The sequence below is a fragment of the Homo sapiens genome, chromosome 12 (genome assembly GCF_000001405.40).
Source record: "Homo sapiens chromosome 12, GRCh38.p14 Primary Assembly".
NCBI classification, from domain to species: domain Eukaryota; kingdom Metazoa; phylum Chordata; class Mammalia; order Primates; family Hominidae; genus Homo; species Homo sapiens.
This window is the reverse complement of record NC_000012.12, coordinates 65,492,602-65,511,058: the sequence shown is the minus strand read 5'-3', so window position 1 is coordinate 65,511,058 and position 18,457 is coordinate 65,492,602. Positions and strand designations below refer to the sequence as shown.

Below are 18,457 nucleotides of genomic sequence, written 5' to 3'. Positions count from 1 at the left end.
AAAAATCAGGAGCAGGAGCAGCAGGAGCTATAAAACCACCCTGCTGAACAGAATCCAATATGCCGAGACAAAGAGAGAAAGCGGCACAGGCCAGGCGGGAAGGGTGGGTTCTTTAGGTGATTCACAAAAAAGGGAAAGTTCTCTGAGCCTTTCCCTCCCCAGACCTCAGCCCAGCAGGCCCTGGCCGTCAATGAACTAACCTTTTCCTAAGGCCTTGTCTCCCTGCTGGGCGGGAATCCAATCCCCGGGCAAAGGTCACTGAAAATACCATCACGCTGTTGGCAGTGGCTGTTCATTCACAAAATGAGCCCCTTTGTGATAAAAGCGGGGAGAGCAGACCCGAGGCTTGTGTGCATTCCAAGCCGATGGAGGAGAGCTGCCAACGCGCTCGTCAGTGGGAGCACATGCGGCTCACTTTACACGATTGATGTGGCCCTGCAGAACCATGTACATCGAATTCCTATAAATCAAATCGCATTTTAAATGCACCAGGGGAGCCGGCCATTTAAAGGAACCCTGCAGTGAATCCTTTTGAAAAGTGAAAAATCACTGCTGAATTGATCTATTTTGCCACGAAGTAACAAATATTTACTGAGTGCTTATAATGTACCATGCAAAGTACTAGGCGCGGTGAGCGTTTCTTAAAATGGAGTGTCCCTGAGCCAGGGAAGAGCCCTTGGAGAGGGTTGTTTTGGGTTTTGGTTAAACCAGGATGAGCTAAGTACAGAAGCAGGAGGAGAGACTCCAGCTGGAGCCATATCCTCATGTCACGGCTAAAGGATCCACCAGTTGGTCTCCCTCTGGATAACCAGGCGATATTTCTCATTCATGATGACAAGCAATGCTTAGTGTCTTTTTAAGATCCGAAGGAGGTTATGGCCAGAGGCCCAGGGAAAAGGCCAGGCCCTCCTACCAGGGCATACAACCTGAGTCAGTGTCTGAATCAATATCCACCAGTACTGGCAATCAACTCTTTCTGTGGTTCTTTCTAGGAAACTCACTGCCAAGCTTATTCTTTCTGGGCTCCTATATATTGTTTGGTATACATAGAAAGAGATTTGCATATAACTTGAGTTAATCATATCTGCAAGACATATATAAGTTGTAGCCTCTAACATTTGGGAAATGCATCGTGCTTGAAAACACCTTCAAAAGAGACCCTAAGATAATTGAGGCTGTGGAAAAACAAAACCAAACAAAAGCATTTTCCTGGAATGAACCTGGGCAGACTCAGGTATGAGACTGCCAGCATTGGAATCCCAGATCTATCATGTTATTATATGACCTCAAGTAAGTTATTTATCAGCTTCATATTTTAGTTTGCTTACCTGTAAGATGGGGATAAATAATAGAACCTACCTCAGAAAATATTTGTAAGGATTAAATCAAAAGTGATTTTACGTCTAAAGGCTTAGTACATGCTCAATAAATGTTCATTATCATGACTTTGTAGTTCATTTAAAAAGTAAAACCCTAGGCATACGCTGCATAGTTTTAGAAGTCTGACTGTTTGGTAGGAGCTGGTTGTCAATTGGATGAAGCATCATAAAGGAGGGACAATACGTGCACTAAAATGTTGCCATTGTTTGACTTTATATGTCTCCAAAGGAAAATGAACTCTGTGCAATCCAAGCAGTGTTTTTGCAGACACTATTTAGAGAAGCATCTTTGGCATTTAGAATGGAAAAGGGATCTTTTAAAAAGATCACCTGGTCTAAACTCTTAACTTCATAATGAGGAAAAACAAAACAAAACAAAAAAACCAGAAGTAAGAGATTTAGCCAGGGTATACATCTTGGCTAAAATAATAATAATAATAATGTCTATGACCTTCCAATCCAGGATGCTTCCTGGTTTTAAAAAGGGTTTTCTCCAAAGCTAGAATAAGATGCAATGTGCTTCATCAGATCACCTTTCTTTCCTTTGGTAAGTATCTAGGTTATGAGTAGAAACTGTCAACAATCCCTCTAGATACAATCGGTGGGCAGGGCAGGAAATAATATACTGTCTCCAGGAAGAGAGAGAAAATAGATAGGTAACAGGTTTCGTGATAGGGTTCTTGTTTTTAGGGGTGAAAGTTTGTTTCAAAGTTCTAAGGAGAACTTTGATGTTAACAGTCCTCATCTGACAAAATCGGTAAAGAATACAATGAGATGTTGGTGTTCCGCTGACACAGTGTTGGTGTTTCCCACACATGGAGGAAACTTGTCGCTGGACAAACGTAGATAACATTCAAGGCACCACCCCACCCAGCCAGGAATCAGAGCAGGACAACCGGCAACAGCACACCAGTTCTACTCACATGGACCATTACAGAGGGGGGATTGTTACTACTCAACCTGAACCTCTTACCATGAGCAGAGAAGATTTAGTGGCAATAAATCCACATTGGCCAAGCAATTGTGGATTTATCATGAACAGAAAGAATTTTTTTTTTTTTTTTTTTTACCTATAGCAACTCTGTAGGCTGCACATGCTCCCCAGATGCCGTCTTCTTAAATGTTCTTTATTAAAACAGAATGTACTGAGATAATGTCTCTTGGAAACCTCTCAGGCAAAGCACAGATCGCAGGGAATTCCCAGAGACCTTCCCTTGCATCTGGATTGAATCCACGATGCCTTGAGGAATCTCCCTTCCTCTCCAGGTCTTCTAAAACATGTCATCCCCAGCACTGAAGCAGAGACTTGAGCTCATTTATAACCAATGACAAGGTCATCTCTGGGCTGGGGCTCCCACCCGCATTTTCTTCCAGAGCATGCCTCCATCTGAAAGTCTTTCTCATCCAACGCCCCATGAGCTCCATTGGAAAAGTGTCCCAGCTACATTTAACTGTGCTTGAAAGTTAAAGTCACAGCATTCAAGGTACAGTCAGCCCACCACATTCACGTGTTCCCTATCTGCAGATTCAACCAATTGCAGATGGAAAATATTCATAAACAAAAAAAGCAAAACAATAAAAAATACAAATAAAAACAATATAACACAACAATTACTTTACATAGCATTCACGAGATGATTTAACGTATACTGGAGGATGTGCCTAGGTGATATGGAAATACTGCACCATTTTGTATCTGGGACTTGAACATCTACAGATTTTGGTATCTGCAGGGTGTCCTGGAACCAATCCTCTGCAGATACTGAGGGGCGACTGCATACACCAAATTGAACAATAGACAAAATGATGTCTCCAGTCAAAATAGAAAAAAACAAGGCTTGGACAACCCGGCCCCAGAGCCAGACAAAATCAGAATACAGATGCCAACATGAAGAGTTAGACTGGCAAAAAGTGCAATTCAAAAGTATAAGTGACAAAAATTCAAAGGCAGTTGGAAATGCTGCAGAAGGCAAGGAAGAAAGCAGTGCATCTTCCCTCGTGGGGGCACTAGGAGGTGACCAGCATAAGAGTTGAGACAGAGAAATAACTGAACTGAGTTTATCTCCCTCTGCAGAATAACCCATGTGGGAAGCTTGAAAAGTGAGAAAAGGCTGAGGAAAGCAGCTATGTATCGGATGGATGTGCTGTGTCAGGGAGACACTGTTGGAGAGTGAAAAATGTGGCTGTGAAATTCTTAGGGTTGATATTCAAAGAATGAAAATCATAGGCCAAGCTCCAGAGGGATATGTCTGACCTTGGTACTAGCAGGAAGCAGGAGAGCAAATCTTGCTGAGGTGCCCAGAGGAATCCTAACTTCCCGCAGAAGCATGAATGTCCATGGATTGAATGCCAGACTCTACATCCGAAGAAAACCAGACCCAGACCTACACTGGATGGCCACGTGGCACTTCTCTATGTTTTTGCCTTTGTCTCCACCCTGCCCTTTGGAAAGTCAAGGAGCGCAATGGCCAAGTGACCAGGGACTCGGTGCCTCCTTGCAGAAGACAGTGACCCAGTGGAGAAAAACAAATCATAAGGCTCTCAAATCCTAAGAAGGGGCTTTGATGTCAAACGGATGGATGCAATGCAGGGAGGAGATGAAAATGAGGAGAACATCTGGAAACATCAGTGGACCACAAGCTTTTGAAAAGTAAAGGTGGTGTCTTTCTCATTTTCATATACCTTTGCCTCTCCTGGCTTTCCTGCTTTGCGAGGAGCTGCTAAATCTAATGTCATGGAGGGACACTGTATATGGGTCTTGTCTAGGGTTGGAAGTTATTTTTGCATTTACCAGTCAGTGGCTTCAGGCAAGCCTGTTTGAATCTGTGTTTCAACTTTCTCATCTGCAAGGTAAAAAACCATGTCCACTGCACAGAGGTGTGGTGGGAATGATAAGTAAAGACTTTTATTTATAGTGTTGGCTCATTGCCTGGCACAGATAAAACTCGACATCCTCTTTCTCTTCATCATTGCCATCTTCCTCCTAGTTCTCCCTCAAGCCCATCATGGATATGTGTTTCAGGCAGGAACTGATATTTCTACCCAAGAAGAGGGGCAAGCAATGTCTTCCGCCTATTCCTTATGTAATAACAGCAATAATGACTAAGTACCTGTGTGTCTGCTCTGCTGAGTTCTAGAAGGAACTCCTCCCAGACTGCTAATGTGTGAAATTGCCACCCCATCTCCCCACTCTTGCCTTGCCCTCTCTCTGTGCAGTGTTCTGTGCAGTTGCCTGGGAACCCTGCCCCTGTCTACACACACCAGGACAGGCAGAGAAGGCGAAGGAAAGAAAGAGCAGGAAAGTACCAAAAAGTGTAATCCCCGACACCAGCCTTTTCCACCCTCATGGCAGAGGCTCTCATCTCTACAGCCCAGGCCTCAGCTTCCCTCATGGCCCCTTGATTCCGGCACACCCCACCCACTCCTGTGAGGAAACACCAGAAAGAAAATCGAGTCTGGGTTTTCCCCAACCAGTCTTGTAGGCGACTTCAGGCCTTCACATCTCCAGAGTGCCATTATTATCTCTAGGGGAGTAATTCTCCTTGCCTAGGTGGTCTAAGGGAAAAAGGAGGAAACAGGGTGAAGGGGAAGGCTTCTTATGCCTTGCCTGTTTCCTGTTTTTGTTGAGATACAGACCCTTAGAAAGCCTCCCTGTGCTCAGGGAGGTGAGAATATGAGACTGACTTCTGTTTCCCCTCCTCTCAGAGTGCGGCGAGGCCATGTCGAGGATGCCTGTCCGAAGCAACAGGTGGAGGCTGTGTAAAGAGGAGCAGGCAGTTCATTCCTTGTGGTTCCAAGGGGAAAGGGGAGCTGAAGGCTAGGGCTGAAGCAGGGAATTCGCATTAATGAGGTTCTCCTCACCCCTCCCGACCAGCTTTGTCCTGTTGGCATTCTTACCCAAATCCCTCAGAGTCTGGGCTCGTGGCTCCTGAGCTGGCAGAGCCCCCAGGCTGACTGTGCCGCTAGAAGCATCACGAAAACAGAGAGAAAGTGCTTGTCTCGCTGTCTGGGCCAAGGCTGGAAGGCAGTGTAGGGCTGGGGAGGAGGGATTATGGGTCGCCTTCTGCCCAGGCTGAACTCAGGAAGGTATTTGCCAAGGCGATGCTGGGAGTCATGGTAATCAGGCTCCATAGCCTAGATCCTGAGAGCACCAGCCTGGAAACCCAAGCATGCTTGACACAGCACATGCTCTTGAGATCAAAGAAAACCCAGAAATCTGTGAAAGGGCATGTTTTCTATCCTGTTGATTCTAGTGACTTAATCAGATGGAGAGGAGGACCAATCCACAGAGTTTTAGGAAAACAAAGACTCAAGGGAGGAATGCCTCTTATAAGAGTTTGACATAGCCACAGTTATACTTCCAAGAATCTCTCCTAAGTCAATAATCAGAAATGCATAAAAATGAATATAAAAGATCATCCACAGACCATTGTCTAAAGAGAGAAAAACTGGAAGCAACCTAGTTTATCAATGGGGCAGGATCAGGTTAGTCTTGGTATGTTTGAACAATGAGGCATTATTCAGTCAATCTGCAGAAAAATGTTTAATAACACAGAGAAATGCCTAGAATGTATTAATAAAAAGTAGGATACAAAGCTATATGTTTAGTATGATCTCAATTATGTAGATATTTACACGTAAAAGACCAGAAAAAAATACAGGAAAATATTCACAGTGATTTTCTCTGGGGCATATGGATTAGGACTGATTTTTTTCATCTTTATATGATCCTGTATTTTAAGATTTCCTATGATTAGCACATTTAATTTTTCCAATTATAAATGTGTTTTAATTTCTAATTAAATAATGATAAAATTTTTTTAAGACTGAGAAAAGTCCCTTTTTGATGACCAGATGGGGCTTCATTATTTCTTCCTTCAATGACCAATCTGCCAAGAAAACAGGGGCAAGTCATTGAACTCCCTCTGTAAAAATAAACAGCATTGGCTTTAAATTTTGTAACTTAATTACTTTTAAGGTCTGTATCTGAGTTCTGCTGCCATGAGAAAACCCCGTGATTTCCACCCCCTACAAAGAGTTAGCACTGAGGTCATTTCTAAACCTCCTTTATCCAGGTACTTGGACAGCTGAGGTCATGTGAGTATTAATATTTATCTGAAGTTATGTGACTTCCAGAGAAAGTGCTAAGAGCACCTCTGCAACCTTGAGAAACTCCCTTTGGGCATCAGGACAGCCTCTGTCAGTAAACAGCATGCTCTTCAGGAAACCAGCAGTTCCAGAACTCTGAAGGACCCCAGCATTGATACCAACAGCAGACACTATTCGTGCTTCTTTTTTCAATCTGAAAGGACCAAGATTGTTATTATTTTTAAATCCCTCTCTCCTTTCTTTGTCCTGGCCCTTCTTAGGGCCACCTCACCTACCTCCTTCCAATGTGGTACCAGTAAAATATAGATCTCCAGATAAATTTGAGTTTCAGATGAACAATGAGTAAAATTTTTGGTATAAGTATGTCTCAAACATTGCTTGGGACATACTAAAAATTATTCACTGATTATTTAAATTCAGGTTTAACTGGTGTCGTGTATTTTATTTGCTCAACCTGGCAAGCTTCCTCCCCGACAACCTCCTGCCCCCAGACCCTGCTCCCACCCCCATGCCACTCTTGCCATTCTCTAATGTTGAGAAATCACAAGAATAAAATTAAAACCCTTAAGGAAACCAACCAGTTGCCTTATAAACAAAAGAAGACAAAAAATCCCTTTGCTAATCAGGAACTCCCATGACTAGGTATTCAAAACTTTAGACTTCAAGAAGAGGGAGAAATAAGTTCTCACTGGGTCCCTTCTAACAGCTGAAATTACCATTAACATTATTTTGAAAAAAAAAAAGAGTTAGAACCATTCTTTAAAACAACATTAAACAGTGTTGTGATCCAAGCTGGCACATTTTGGATTGCTTTGAATTAATTCTTCTTTTATTAGAGCTGCTTCCCAGCATACAGTTTAGGAATAACCAGTTCTTGCTCACCTGTGCTGCTAAGCGCTAATGCGTCAGCACAGGTATTTCTGCCACAGGACTGACAATAGCCATCCCAGACCACTGATGAGTTTTCTTGCAAAATAGGTAGGCCTGTTCCTGATAAATACTGTTGTTGTTGTTCTTGTTATTAGTAATAATGACATTTTTATCACCTCATGTATGTAAGGCTGTAACAAATCTTCCAGTTACTCTGCACCAAATACACTGGGTTCTTTATAAGTTTTCATTGGACTGAAGAGACTGAACAATGTCACCCGGCCATCCTACTGCCTCTGGAAAGACTGCATTCAAGTCATGCCAGCATGACTTGAGTCTCCTTAGCTGTGCTTTAGTCTCCTCAGTTGTGAAAAGGTCATGGTGAGGATGACATGAGTTAATGTATGTAAATTTCTTAGGACAGCGCCTGGCACAAAGATGAGGTCCACAAGGGTTAGTGATTATTAATATCATCCTTTTACATTACTCTTATAGATTGTCTCAACGTTTCAGAAAACAATACATCAATGTGTATCAAAAATCTTAAAGCTGTTCTTACCATTTGACACAATTATTTATAATTTTGAGAAATCTACCCTAAGAAAATAATTGGAGATGCAGCCACACAGATAGGTACGAAGAAATTTGCCAGACGATATTATTTTTTTGTGGCCAGACACTGGTAGCAGCCTAGAGTTTAACACCAGGGAATGATCAAATAAACAGCGGTATATCAATATGATAGACTATTTGCACAGACATGAAATACCATGTTTTTAAGGAATACTTATTTAATGTCATGGGAAATAATTAGGATTAACTAGAAAAAAAGGATAATAAAAATAGTTTCGTTTCATCCCATAACCTACAGTGACAGACCCTGGTTATGACTACAAGGCAAGAACTATTAGCTATGTCTTTGTTTTTTAGATTGAGTTATACTCAAGATAAGGGGCAGAATCCTTGGCAAATTACATATGTGTATTGAGTCTAATGGAGCAGACAGGAGAAGCACAGATGACTACAAGGACACTAACACGTTCACAAGTCCAAGAGAGGTAACAAGTCAAATGGTGTAGACAGATGGCTAATGGATTTTCCCCGATGCACTGCTCCAATTCAATGAGAATCATTGCCTGCACAATGTGTTCAAAGTGACTCTGAGACTCTGTCCCTGTTCATGAGAAAATGCACTGTGTTCAATTAGTAATGTCTGCTGTGGACTCAGAAGAATGTGCTGGCAACAGGTACATTGTGTATTTGCCATCCTTGGCACTAATGATAATGGCAGCTAAGGAATCAAAGAAAGGTGAATTTATCCAAGAAAGATCTCAAGGAAGATTCCAGATTCTTCATGAAATTAGTCTAGAACCTTTAATTGTAAATATATAACATGTCACACGGAACATGAGCAAATGATTGATTACATTAGGAAGAAAAGCTGGAGACCACGTAGGTTAGCCTGGAGACAGAGAACAGGTGTATAGAACACATTATTCACCACGTTTGTTGGGAAGTCATGAAAAGCCAAGGTTTGGGGAAATCTTTGTCAGGACCAAGGAGAGTGCTGGTAGCAGGAGTCAAGACAAGGACAATTGAACTTTATCTCTTTTAATAATCTCAACTCCTTCGTATGGTAGAAAATGTAGTCCTTATTGTACCAAGAGGAAACCAAGGCACAAAGATTTTAGGGTCACACAGCTAGAAATGTGCAGAGCTCTCTTTAATCACAGGTAGGTCAGATGACAACGACTGGAGTTTTTCTAAGCCTCCACCCACTTCTGTCTGACAATAAGGCACGGCCCACTACCCCTGGATTATGGGAGGATTTTGCCATAGGATAAAATCCAAGGCAGAAACCAGATATCTAAATATTCCTAGTTTGACTATTTCTCTAATTTGCTCTCAACACTATATTTTCTTATCAATGTTATCTGATTTGGCTAAATCAATTAATGATCAATTAATAAGTTTTTAATAGCCACTGAAATAAACAGTGATCTCATTGAATCTTCACAACCATCCTAGACAGAATGCCTAAGAGCACAATGATGGTGGAGAATACCCGGTTTTGTCCACCAAGGTGGGAGGTGAGGTATGTACTGAGAAGGTCAGAGAGAATCCTCCATGCCCGCAGGTACTAAACAAGCCCAGGGTAGACCTGAGGACCTGGCCCAGCTCTAGCTTTTCTCAGTGTGGACTCAGCAGCAGGGTTGCCAAAGGCCAAATCAGATTCAGTAAACACAGACTTCTGCGAAGCAAGTGCTCTTGCTTTCACTCAGTGTCAGCTGGGGGCTGCGTGTGCCTTGAGTACTAAAAAGTTCTGCAGAGAGGCCAAGTGCAGAAATCTGTGCCTGAGATTTTCTGCTTTTACAAGAAGAATGAGCATATGGGGCGCTCAGCCAAGGTCAACCTGGAATTGGAAGGCTGAGTCCAGGCTCAGAGGAGCCAGAGCCAAGGTGGAAAGCTCCAGGCGCTGGGAGGGCAGGGACAGGGGGCTGGAGTAGAAGGCCAAGTGCAGGAATGTTTATTGAAAAGAACCCAGCCCTCACACCTCAGGGATTTGGGAACTGGCCGTCTGCACTTGAGAGCCCTGCCAGATGAGTTCAGCCATTTCCACTTCATAAACGTCTTGGTGCAAAAATGAATGGCAAACCAAGCCATGAATGTGATTTCTAAAAGAAGATTATTGAAAAAAAATCATTCTGCTTTTTCAACTCTCTCTTCTGGTGGTCAGGAGGAGGAAAGGAGGGAGAAAAGTCTCTGGACACTTGCAGACATCCCCATCAGATTCCACAAACTACTATGCAGAACAAGGGAGTGTCATATCTTCTAAGATTTCTCACCAGAAGGAAAAGGCTAAAATCTGAGCCTAAATGAACCTGAGTATGCATCTGGTTGCCAGGAGAGAGCAGCAGGGATAGGAAAGAGGAAGAGCCATCCCTTTGTGAGCCCAAAACAACATGACCCCCAATTGCCCCCGGGTGACAGAACTTCAAGGCTTACATTAGACAAGCAGCTCGGGGAAGAGACATACTGATTACATATCTAATTTTCTGTCACTATCTGCATGACATCACATATGTCACTGTGGTTTTCCAGATTACTCTCGACCCTGTAAAGAAATATTTTCCCTGATGACTCAGTTTGAATTTTTTGTTGGCACGGGTTTCACTTCCTTACTTCCTGTTGGTCTCACTCCTTAGATCTTTGTTGGGGTCTTCAGTGCCTCCCAAACCCCCAATCTACAGGAATTTTTCCAGACTGCAGAGTCTTCTGGCATTTCTCCCTCCTGATCACTCAAAATGATATAAAGCCTCACCAAATGATCTGGCATTGCTGCTTCTGGAGATAGCTATAGCCGAGCTCCCCACACCGCAACCCCTTGATCTTTTTCACTGTGTTCAAAACTAGGCTGAAGTGAAATCATCACAACTGCTCTTTCAAGCTTAAGGAATTTGATAAATGAAGTTGTGTGGGGTCCTGGCAGGCAATACACTTGAGCAAAGCACAGTGATCATCTGCGGACCACTCTTTATCCCTTTATTGTAGACATGTATTCAAGTTAAAATTGCTTTGTTAAACTTTTTTGTGTGTCTCTCTTTTTATATTTCAGCTTTATACAATTATTCCCAAATCTTCTAAACTGACAGTGAGGGAGAGTAATTTGAAAGGACTGCTCAACTCAACGTCATTTGAAGATTTGCACCACAGCTGCATTTTTCCAATTTCCTGGCATCTATTCTGCTCTCCTGGACTTTTCAAAAACAATTGTAAGTGGATGAATAAATATAATAACTGATTCCATTGATACTCTTAGACCATCCTTTGGACTTTCTGCTTTTGGACATTTTACAGTTTAAAATTTATTTATCATCTATCGATGTTTCCCAAAGAAGGACTCAAAGTACACATTGTCAAAGATCTCATGGATCTAATTAAGGACAGGGAACAGGTACAGAATCATACATTGTCTCTACACAGAGGGGATAATTTCTGAAGGAAAGAAGAAAGTAAATTCCTTAATCACCCTTATGATTATAACTACACAATTGAATTTGTTTACTTCATCAGCTTTGGGAATAAAGTAAGGTCCTACACTTTTCAATTTTTCAAAGAAAATGTCCTGTCTTGTTATCAAGAGAGCAAATTTTCTTTTTCCCTCCCTGGGATCCTTTCCCCTCTTGTGATAAATACAACCACTGATGGTAGGTCTGATCCTAACTATCCCAGAGAATTCAGTTTAATCAGCAGAGGAGATTTCGGCTCCTGTACTGTGGGCGGCATCTTCCGGCCTCGCGTCATCCCTGGCGGGCCAGCAGCTTTGCTGCACTCAGTGCCTCAGACATGCATTGTCAACTCCAGTGGAACTGGAGCTGGGTTCTGACACTACCTGCAAAGGTCTGAGGACTCAAGTTCTTCCTTTATAAGCCAAAACCCCTTTCCTTCTGCCATCAGAAATGCTACTTCATTGGATCGGATTTTCACTGAATTAACAGGTTAATTTGGGGAGAATTGATATCTTTTCATATTGAGTCTTCCCATCAAAGAACATGATATGCTTCTGACTTTATTCAGGATTTCTAGCATGTCCTTTAGTTATAATTTTCTTCATATAGGCCTTACCTATTTATTGCTAGATTTGTTGCTATGTACTTTAGAGTTTTTGTTCCTTCTGTGAATAGAGCCTTACTTTCCTTTATTTTCTAATTGAGCATCACTATATACCCCAGATAGCATATATCTGACTACCTTGATGAACTATTTTGCTGGCTCTAAAGGTTTTTTCACTTGCACTTCTTGTGTTTTCCAGATAGATAATGTGCTATTTCCAATAAGCATACATTTCCATTTCTTATATTGTTGCAATGGCTAGGACCTTCACCATAATGTTGCATGATAGCAGCGTAGCTGATATTGCCTTATTTTCACTTTAGGGGTCTGCTTTAGTATTTCACCAGTACACATAGTTTTTATTGTGGTTTTATTGTAGCTACCCTTTATGGAGTTTGAGAGAGAGAGAGAAGTCTTTTTAATCCCAAGTTTGCTAAGATTTCTTACTAGGAAAGATGTTGAATTTTATCAAATGCAAAATCTCATGAAACACAGGGCTTTCATAACGACTCTTGGTAATTCAGAATAAACCTCATTTTGGCCACAGTTTTTTATGCTTTTGCAACCTTTCCAAAATAACTGATATCACAGCAAAATATCAAAATATCTGTAAATAAGTGTACTTCTTGGGAAAAGTGGACCTTTTTCTTATCATGATGGAATTCTGTTTTCAGAGTTTTTAGTGGGGCATGATGCATAAGGAGTGTGACTTATTGTTCTAGATGAAATCCATAACAACAAAATAATATAATATAAAAATATCAAAATCGTGAGTACTAAAACCATTATAGATATCATTTCATGCTCTGATGAAGAGAAGGGCACTTCAAATCCTGCATCTATAAAGCTAATCAATTCCCCTCAATCTGAGTCTTAAAATACTTTTTCCCTTCACAATATAATTTGTCTCTCTCCAACTCCTAACTCCTCAGACCTAGTCTCAGAAAAAGGACCAGCTAGAAAGAAAGATTGTAGTTCTCCTCCATACCCAGGAATCATACTTCACTTAAAACAAACAGTTGGTAAAACTCCAGACCCAAAAGGGATGGAACACTCAACAGCTTCGCCTTTCATGTGGAGAAGAGGGAAATAGGCTGTTGTAGAATGGGGACCAATATTAGCCGATGTCTGGAAATGTCAAAACGATTAGCATGAAATACTAAACTCATGTGAAATCAGGGCTCTAATGGTGTAACTCCTGAATGCTCTCTGTACCATATTGCACACCAGGATTAAGAAAACAGTCCTTGAGTGTTTCACAATAGTGCCCTCTTCACAGCTGACCTTGTGTGCTTTCCAAAGTCCTTAATTCTGCCACTTTCAGCATCCCTGTCTCTGTGGATTTATGATGTGTCACCAATATTATTACTTTCCCTGTTTCCACCCCTTCCACCCCAAATATCGTAGGCATTTTAAGTAACACATTTCCACAGAAGGGCGCTGAAAAGTCAAGAAGCAGAATTTCTCAGCAAGAAGAGCTTGTAGGTAAAGGGGCTCCTCCTCACCCTCTGGCTGGCACTCAGGGGGCTTTGTAGACTATAGGGAAAAATGGAGTAGAGTGAACAAAGACATCCCAAGGGAGACAAAGACACTTAAGGGAGGAGATTGCCCCCCACCATTTCCCAACTTGGTGAGTGCCAACCAGCTCTGGCAGCAAGAGAGCTCCTTGAATTTTGTACACATGATTCCCTTAGCAAGCAAACCAGTGCTCTAACTTCTGGGCCTGTGGGATACCTGGTAGCATGGAAGAGGATTTGTTCATCTGTGCCATCACCAAATCAACCTGTGCAGTGGAGAACCAGCCAGTCCTTCTAGTCCACCATCACCTTTGTGAGAAGTCAAAAACTGACCGATTATGAAATGACTTTCCATGAAAAATTTCCGTTGACCCTTTTGGGAAAGAACTGCTATCGTCATTCTTATCTCTCTCGGATTATATAAATGTGGGGGCTCTTTTTACTCTCTGGATATAAAATAAGTACTTTTTGACTGACTGATTATTCCTCCCTTGCTGATAATGCAAAGTAAAAGTAGGTCAAATGACTGCTGGGCTAATATCCTGCTGTAACCTGATAGATAATCTCAACCAGAAACTCTCTCAATTCTGCATCAGGTTGTGGCCCTTGTGGTGGATGCTAGGGTGCCCAAGCTAGGTCACCAGCCCCTTCAGGACCAAGGCTTTCAGTCCGTCTGCTTCCAGGAGTGTTGATTGCAACATCTCACAGCTGTGTTTCTAAGAATTGCCTTCTGCTGAAGGAAGCTGCCTTGTCCGAGTCTGCAATGTCTCACTGGGGCCAGCTGATATCCAATGCCTGGCCAATGGGGTGGGTACAAAGGTCTGGCTTCCTCATCTCTATGAGGACAAGTCTGAAGGGCCAGTTCAGTTCCAGAATTCCCCATGGGATCCACTGAGGCCTCTGGTGCAAAATGTGTTGCAATTTAGCTTCTCCCTTTGCCCCATTCTGCTTCTTTCACTTGCTCACAGATATTGGTCCTGCAACTGCATGCAAATTTCCATCTCAGAATGGATGCTCCAGGGTACTAAGCATAAACCCCTTCCTCCTCCTGTTGTTTGGTTTCCAATTTCCTGTCTGTTACTCCTTCTTCTTATAACAGATATCTCTATCTATACATACCTATATATCTTGTGTGTGTTTGAATTGCAGGAGTTGCAGGGACATACAGATCCCTTTCATATTTAGTCAATATCCAGTCCAATCAGGGACTGTTTCCAATGATAAAAATCTGACCTGAGATGGCTTAACAGAAAGGCTCACAGACTGGGAAAGCCCAAGAAATAGTCTGGCTTTAGCAGCAGTTTGATCAGGCATTCAAATGATGTCACTGTGACTTATTTCTGTCTCTCTATTTCTTAGTCTGTCACTGCCCTGTTGGCTGAATTCTAAAAGAGCCTGTATCAGTTATCTATTGTCACAATAATGCTGCCTAATCAGCAACCACAAAAATATCAGACGCATTCAACAATGAGCATATATTTCCCATACATCTGCCAGACAGCTGATGTCAACTGGGCTTACTCGACCCTATGGGAGGGCTGGCACGGTGAGACTCTGCTTCACATGAGCACGGAGTGGCTCTGCTTCACATGAGGCTCTTGCTAAGCTTGGCTCCTCAAGGTAGGTTGGGAATTCATCTTAAGGTCTGGCTGACAGGGCAGGAGCTACCCTGAGAGACTCTTCTCATAGCCACCGTAGAAGCTCAAAGAGCAAGCCCAATGGCACCAGCACATTTCACGCTTCTGTTGCGTTACGTCTGCTGGCATCTCATTACCCAATGCAAGTTACATGGATGAACCCAAATTTAGGGACTACTCAGATAGCAAGTCACATGGCCAAGCCCAACATCAGGGCAGTCAAGAGGAAGTGGGTGGGGGGAGGAAGGTAAATATGTAAACAATCATCAAACCTAACAGAGTCCTTCTCCCATTACAGTCCCAAAAGACACAATGTCCTCAGCATTTACCTCTTCCTAACTTCAGGTCTGAGGAGATGAATGCCTGTCTCAAGCCCCAGCCAAAGTCTCCTTGCTCCTCACTGGCCCTGGTACATCCTCAGCCCTCCCTGCACCAATCACTGTGACAAACGGGATCACAGGCACTGACTCCCCAGGCACTGACCAGAGCTGGGGAGGTGGATCACCTCATTCAGATGGCATGGGTTAAATTCCACAGATGAGTCAGAACACAGTTACCAGAATGACAGCCAACACATCTTGGGCTGCAAGAAACCACACGTGTCCACAGTAGAGACCTCATTCTGCCTGCCCCCAACCCTCAGTTCCCCTTCTGCTCTGAATGCTGGAGCTGTTTCTCATTGGCTTGTGTTCATAACACTTCCATTCTTCCCTCGGGGTCTGCCCAGGAGAACCTTGTTGGGACTCCGGGCGCCCGGGCTTAGCCTCCTTGGTGCTTGCCTCTCAGGTTGCCCTCCTCAAATATTCCCGAAATTTCTCTTTCTCTTAGCGTTTTTTCTCCAGATGGCCAATCTCAGGGCATGGATTTCTCTATGGGCCCCTAACCTGGCTCTGCCCCCTGGGGTCAGAGAGCTCGCTGACATCAACCATCTCTTCCCTGCATCATATTGACACCCAGGCACACTCCAGCCTCCCTGACACCCAGGTCTCTGGACTTTTGGCTGCCCTGGGGCCTCGTCCAGGTCTGTTTTATGGGAGAGGGATTTATTTCCTTGATGTTTTAGGGTGGGAAAAGACTTGCTTCCTGGAGATGTGCCAAGAAGGAGGCGATCCACCCAGGAAACAAACAAGAACCTTTTCTCTGTAGTCTTCCCTGCTTCCCCATGTCAAACACTCCCTGCTCCCCCTGAGTAAAAGGAAAGCTGTCAGGATCAAAGGCCTGTATTTGTGATAAACTGCTGCTGGCTGGACTCAAACAGGAAGGACTGTAAGCACTTTAACTCCTTGTTACCCACTGTGTGCTGGCTGCACTCATAAGACTTCTGAAATCACATTTCAATAAATGAAACATCTTTTTATAAGCAGAGAGCCATGCCAATTGGAAGGTTTGAAAGAATGATTAAGGACTCCAAGGGCAACAAACTGCCTTGGAGTATTTCTTGATCTCCTCTGTTGCTTTATAATAGATGATCTAATATATTTGCCCCAGAAGAGAGAAAAGACTAAGAACATGGGTCCTGGAGGCACTCCTTAGCTAGGAGACCTTAACTAAGCAGTAGCCTCTCTCTACCTCTGTTTCTTCATCTGTAAGTTAGAGCTAAGAATTATAGGGCTCATGGTGTAGTTGGGAAGAAAAAGTGAGATACTTTATATGACACATTTACCCCAGTGTCTGGCATATAATACAAAAGTGTCATTAGCTTTCACTGTGGTTATCATCATTACCATTTTCATTATTCCAAAGGAGAAGAGTGGGCAACACCAGGCTTGCTCCCTCCCTTCAAATGCAAAAATGACAAGATGTGCCCAGCATAATCAGGAATCACACAGGCTCAGAGCCCAGGGGCCTTCAGGTTCTATTACATTAGCATGTGACAGGAGCTTTGCTATGCCTCCCAAGACAATAAAATGTGATCATTTTCCGAGGGAAGAATGAGTTACAGCCTAAGATTACTAAGCAATCATGCAGGCAGAACTGGGAGGAAGACTACACCATGGATCAGCCTCAGAACTCTTGTTCCCTAAGTACCTTCTAAGGACTCTGGCTTCATGATACAGCCATGAACAAGAGGGGTTTGCAATTGAATGGAAGAGACAAATACCATAGATACATTGCTAACTCTATGTCTGTCCTGAGGGCTACAGAAATATAAATCAACACTCTGGAAGGATTTTGCAACTCTGCACTTGCTTATGGGTACTTGAAATTCTTCATTGCAGAACTCATTTTACATTACTGCTAACTCAGGGCAGAGTTAAGTAGTTGAGAAAGCACCCAGTGTTTTTGAAATCCTAAATTGTTCCATTAAATTATAAATAAGGATAAGATGAAACTTTGGTAGTTTAGCCCTGGCAACTTCCAAGACATTTCACTTCTTGTCAAATAAATTTTTTTAATTTACTTCCATGGGGTTCCAGCCATTAAACCTTTCTGATACCACCACCATCATTCAATCTCTGAGTCTGGAACTGTTACGAACCATAACACACCAAATGAGGACAGCCACAGTGTCTGAGGAAACCACAGTGAACCACATGTCACTTGTGGTTATTTTCCTAGAGCCAAATTAAGGAGAAACAGGATGGTTTCAAGAAACAAACTGTTAAATTTATGGAGTGAAAAAATATCTTACTTTTAATTATAGTCTAGACTGCCTATCTTGGCAACCATCTCCCCCAACAGAGAGTAATTTGCTGAATGTGGGGTCAGTAAGACAGCAACAAATGAGAGACCACTTGTCTTAGCACCCTGTGAGAAACCCACTTCCTCTCCACTTGCTGAACAAGCCAAGTAGATAGAAAATTAATGAAGGGCAAAATATTGAGATAAGACTCTTATCTAGAAATCCAGTAGAAATGGCAAAATGGCAATAATAGTACTTCAGATTCTTTACTTATTCCTATGATATTTATTTATTTATTTAACTTTTATTTTAAGTTTGGGGTACAAGTGCAGGTTTGTTACATAACTAAACTTGTTTCCTTACTTACTTATGGGGGTTTGTTGTACAGATTATTTCATCACCCTGATATTAAGCCTAGTATGTCCCTATAATATTTAAGTGAAAGTGAGAACTGCCATCATGACTGGACTTAAAATACTGTCAATTGGAATAACATTCTTTGTTGATTGTAAGAAAACCGCTATACTTAAGATCCTCCAATTCTCTCTTGCACCGACCAATTTTAAAATGTTAAAGCATAAAGGGAGTTGATCTATTCAAAGAATTCTGGCAGAAAGTCAGATTCAAAAAACATTGGACACTTCAGCTTTGAGAAATGTAGGCATTGATGAAGAGAAGTAACACAGCTATCAAGAGAGTCTTTCCTCA

General features: G+C 42.4%; 1 long non-coding RNA gene across 3 annotated transcripts in view; it reads left to right on the top strand.

Moving 5' to 3' along the window:
* Nucleotides 1-18,457, top strand: part of MSRB3-AS1 (MSRB3 antisense RNA 1) — a 175,556-nt gene that overhangs the window by 131,314 nt on the left and 25,785 nt on the right. For 2 of the 3 annotated variants that reach the window (NR_120433.1, NR_120432.1), the window contains exon 5: nt 10,975-11,480. This is a non-coding gene — a long non-coding RNA (MSRB3 antisense RNA 1). Of the gene's footprint in view, nt 1-10,974; nt 11,481-18,457 lie in introns of those variants that run through there. The other variant, NR_120431.1, reaches the window with a different exon arrangement.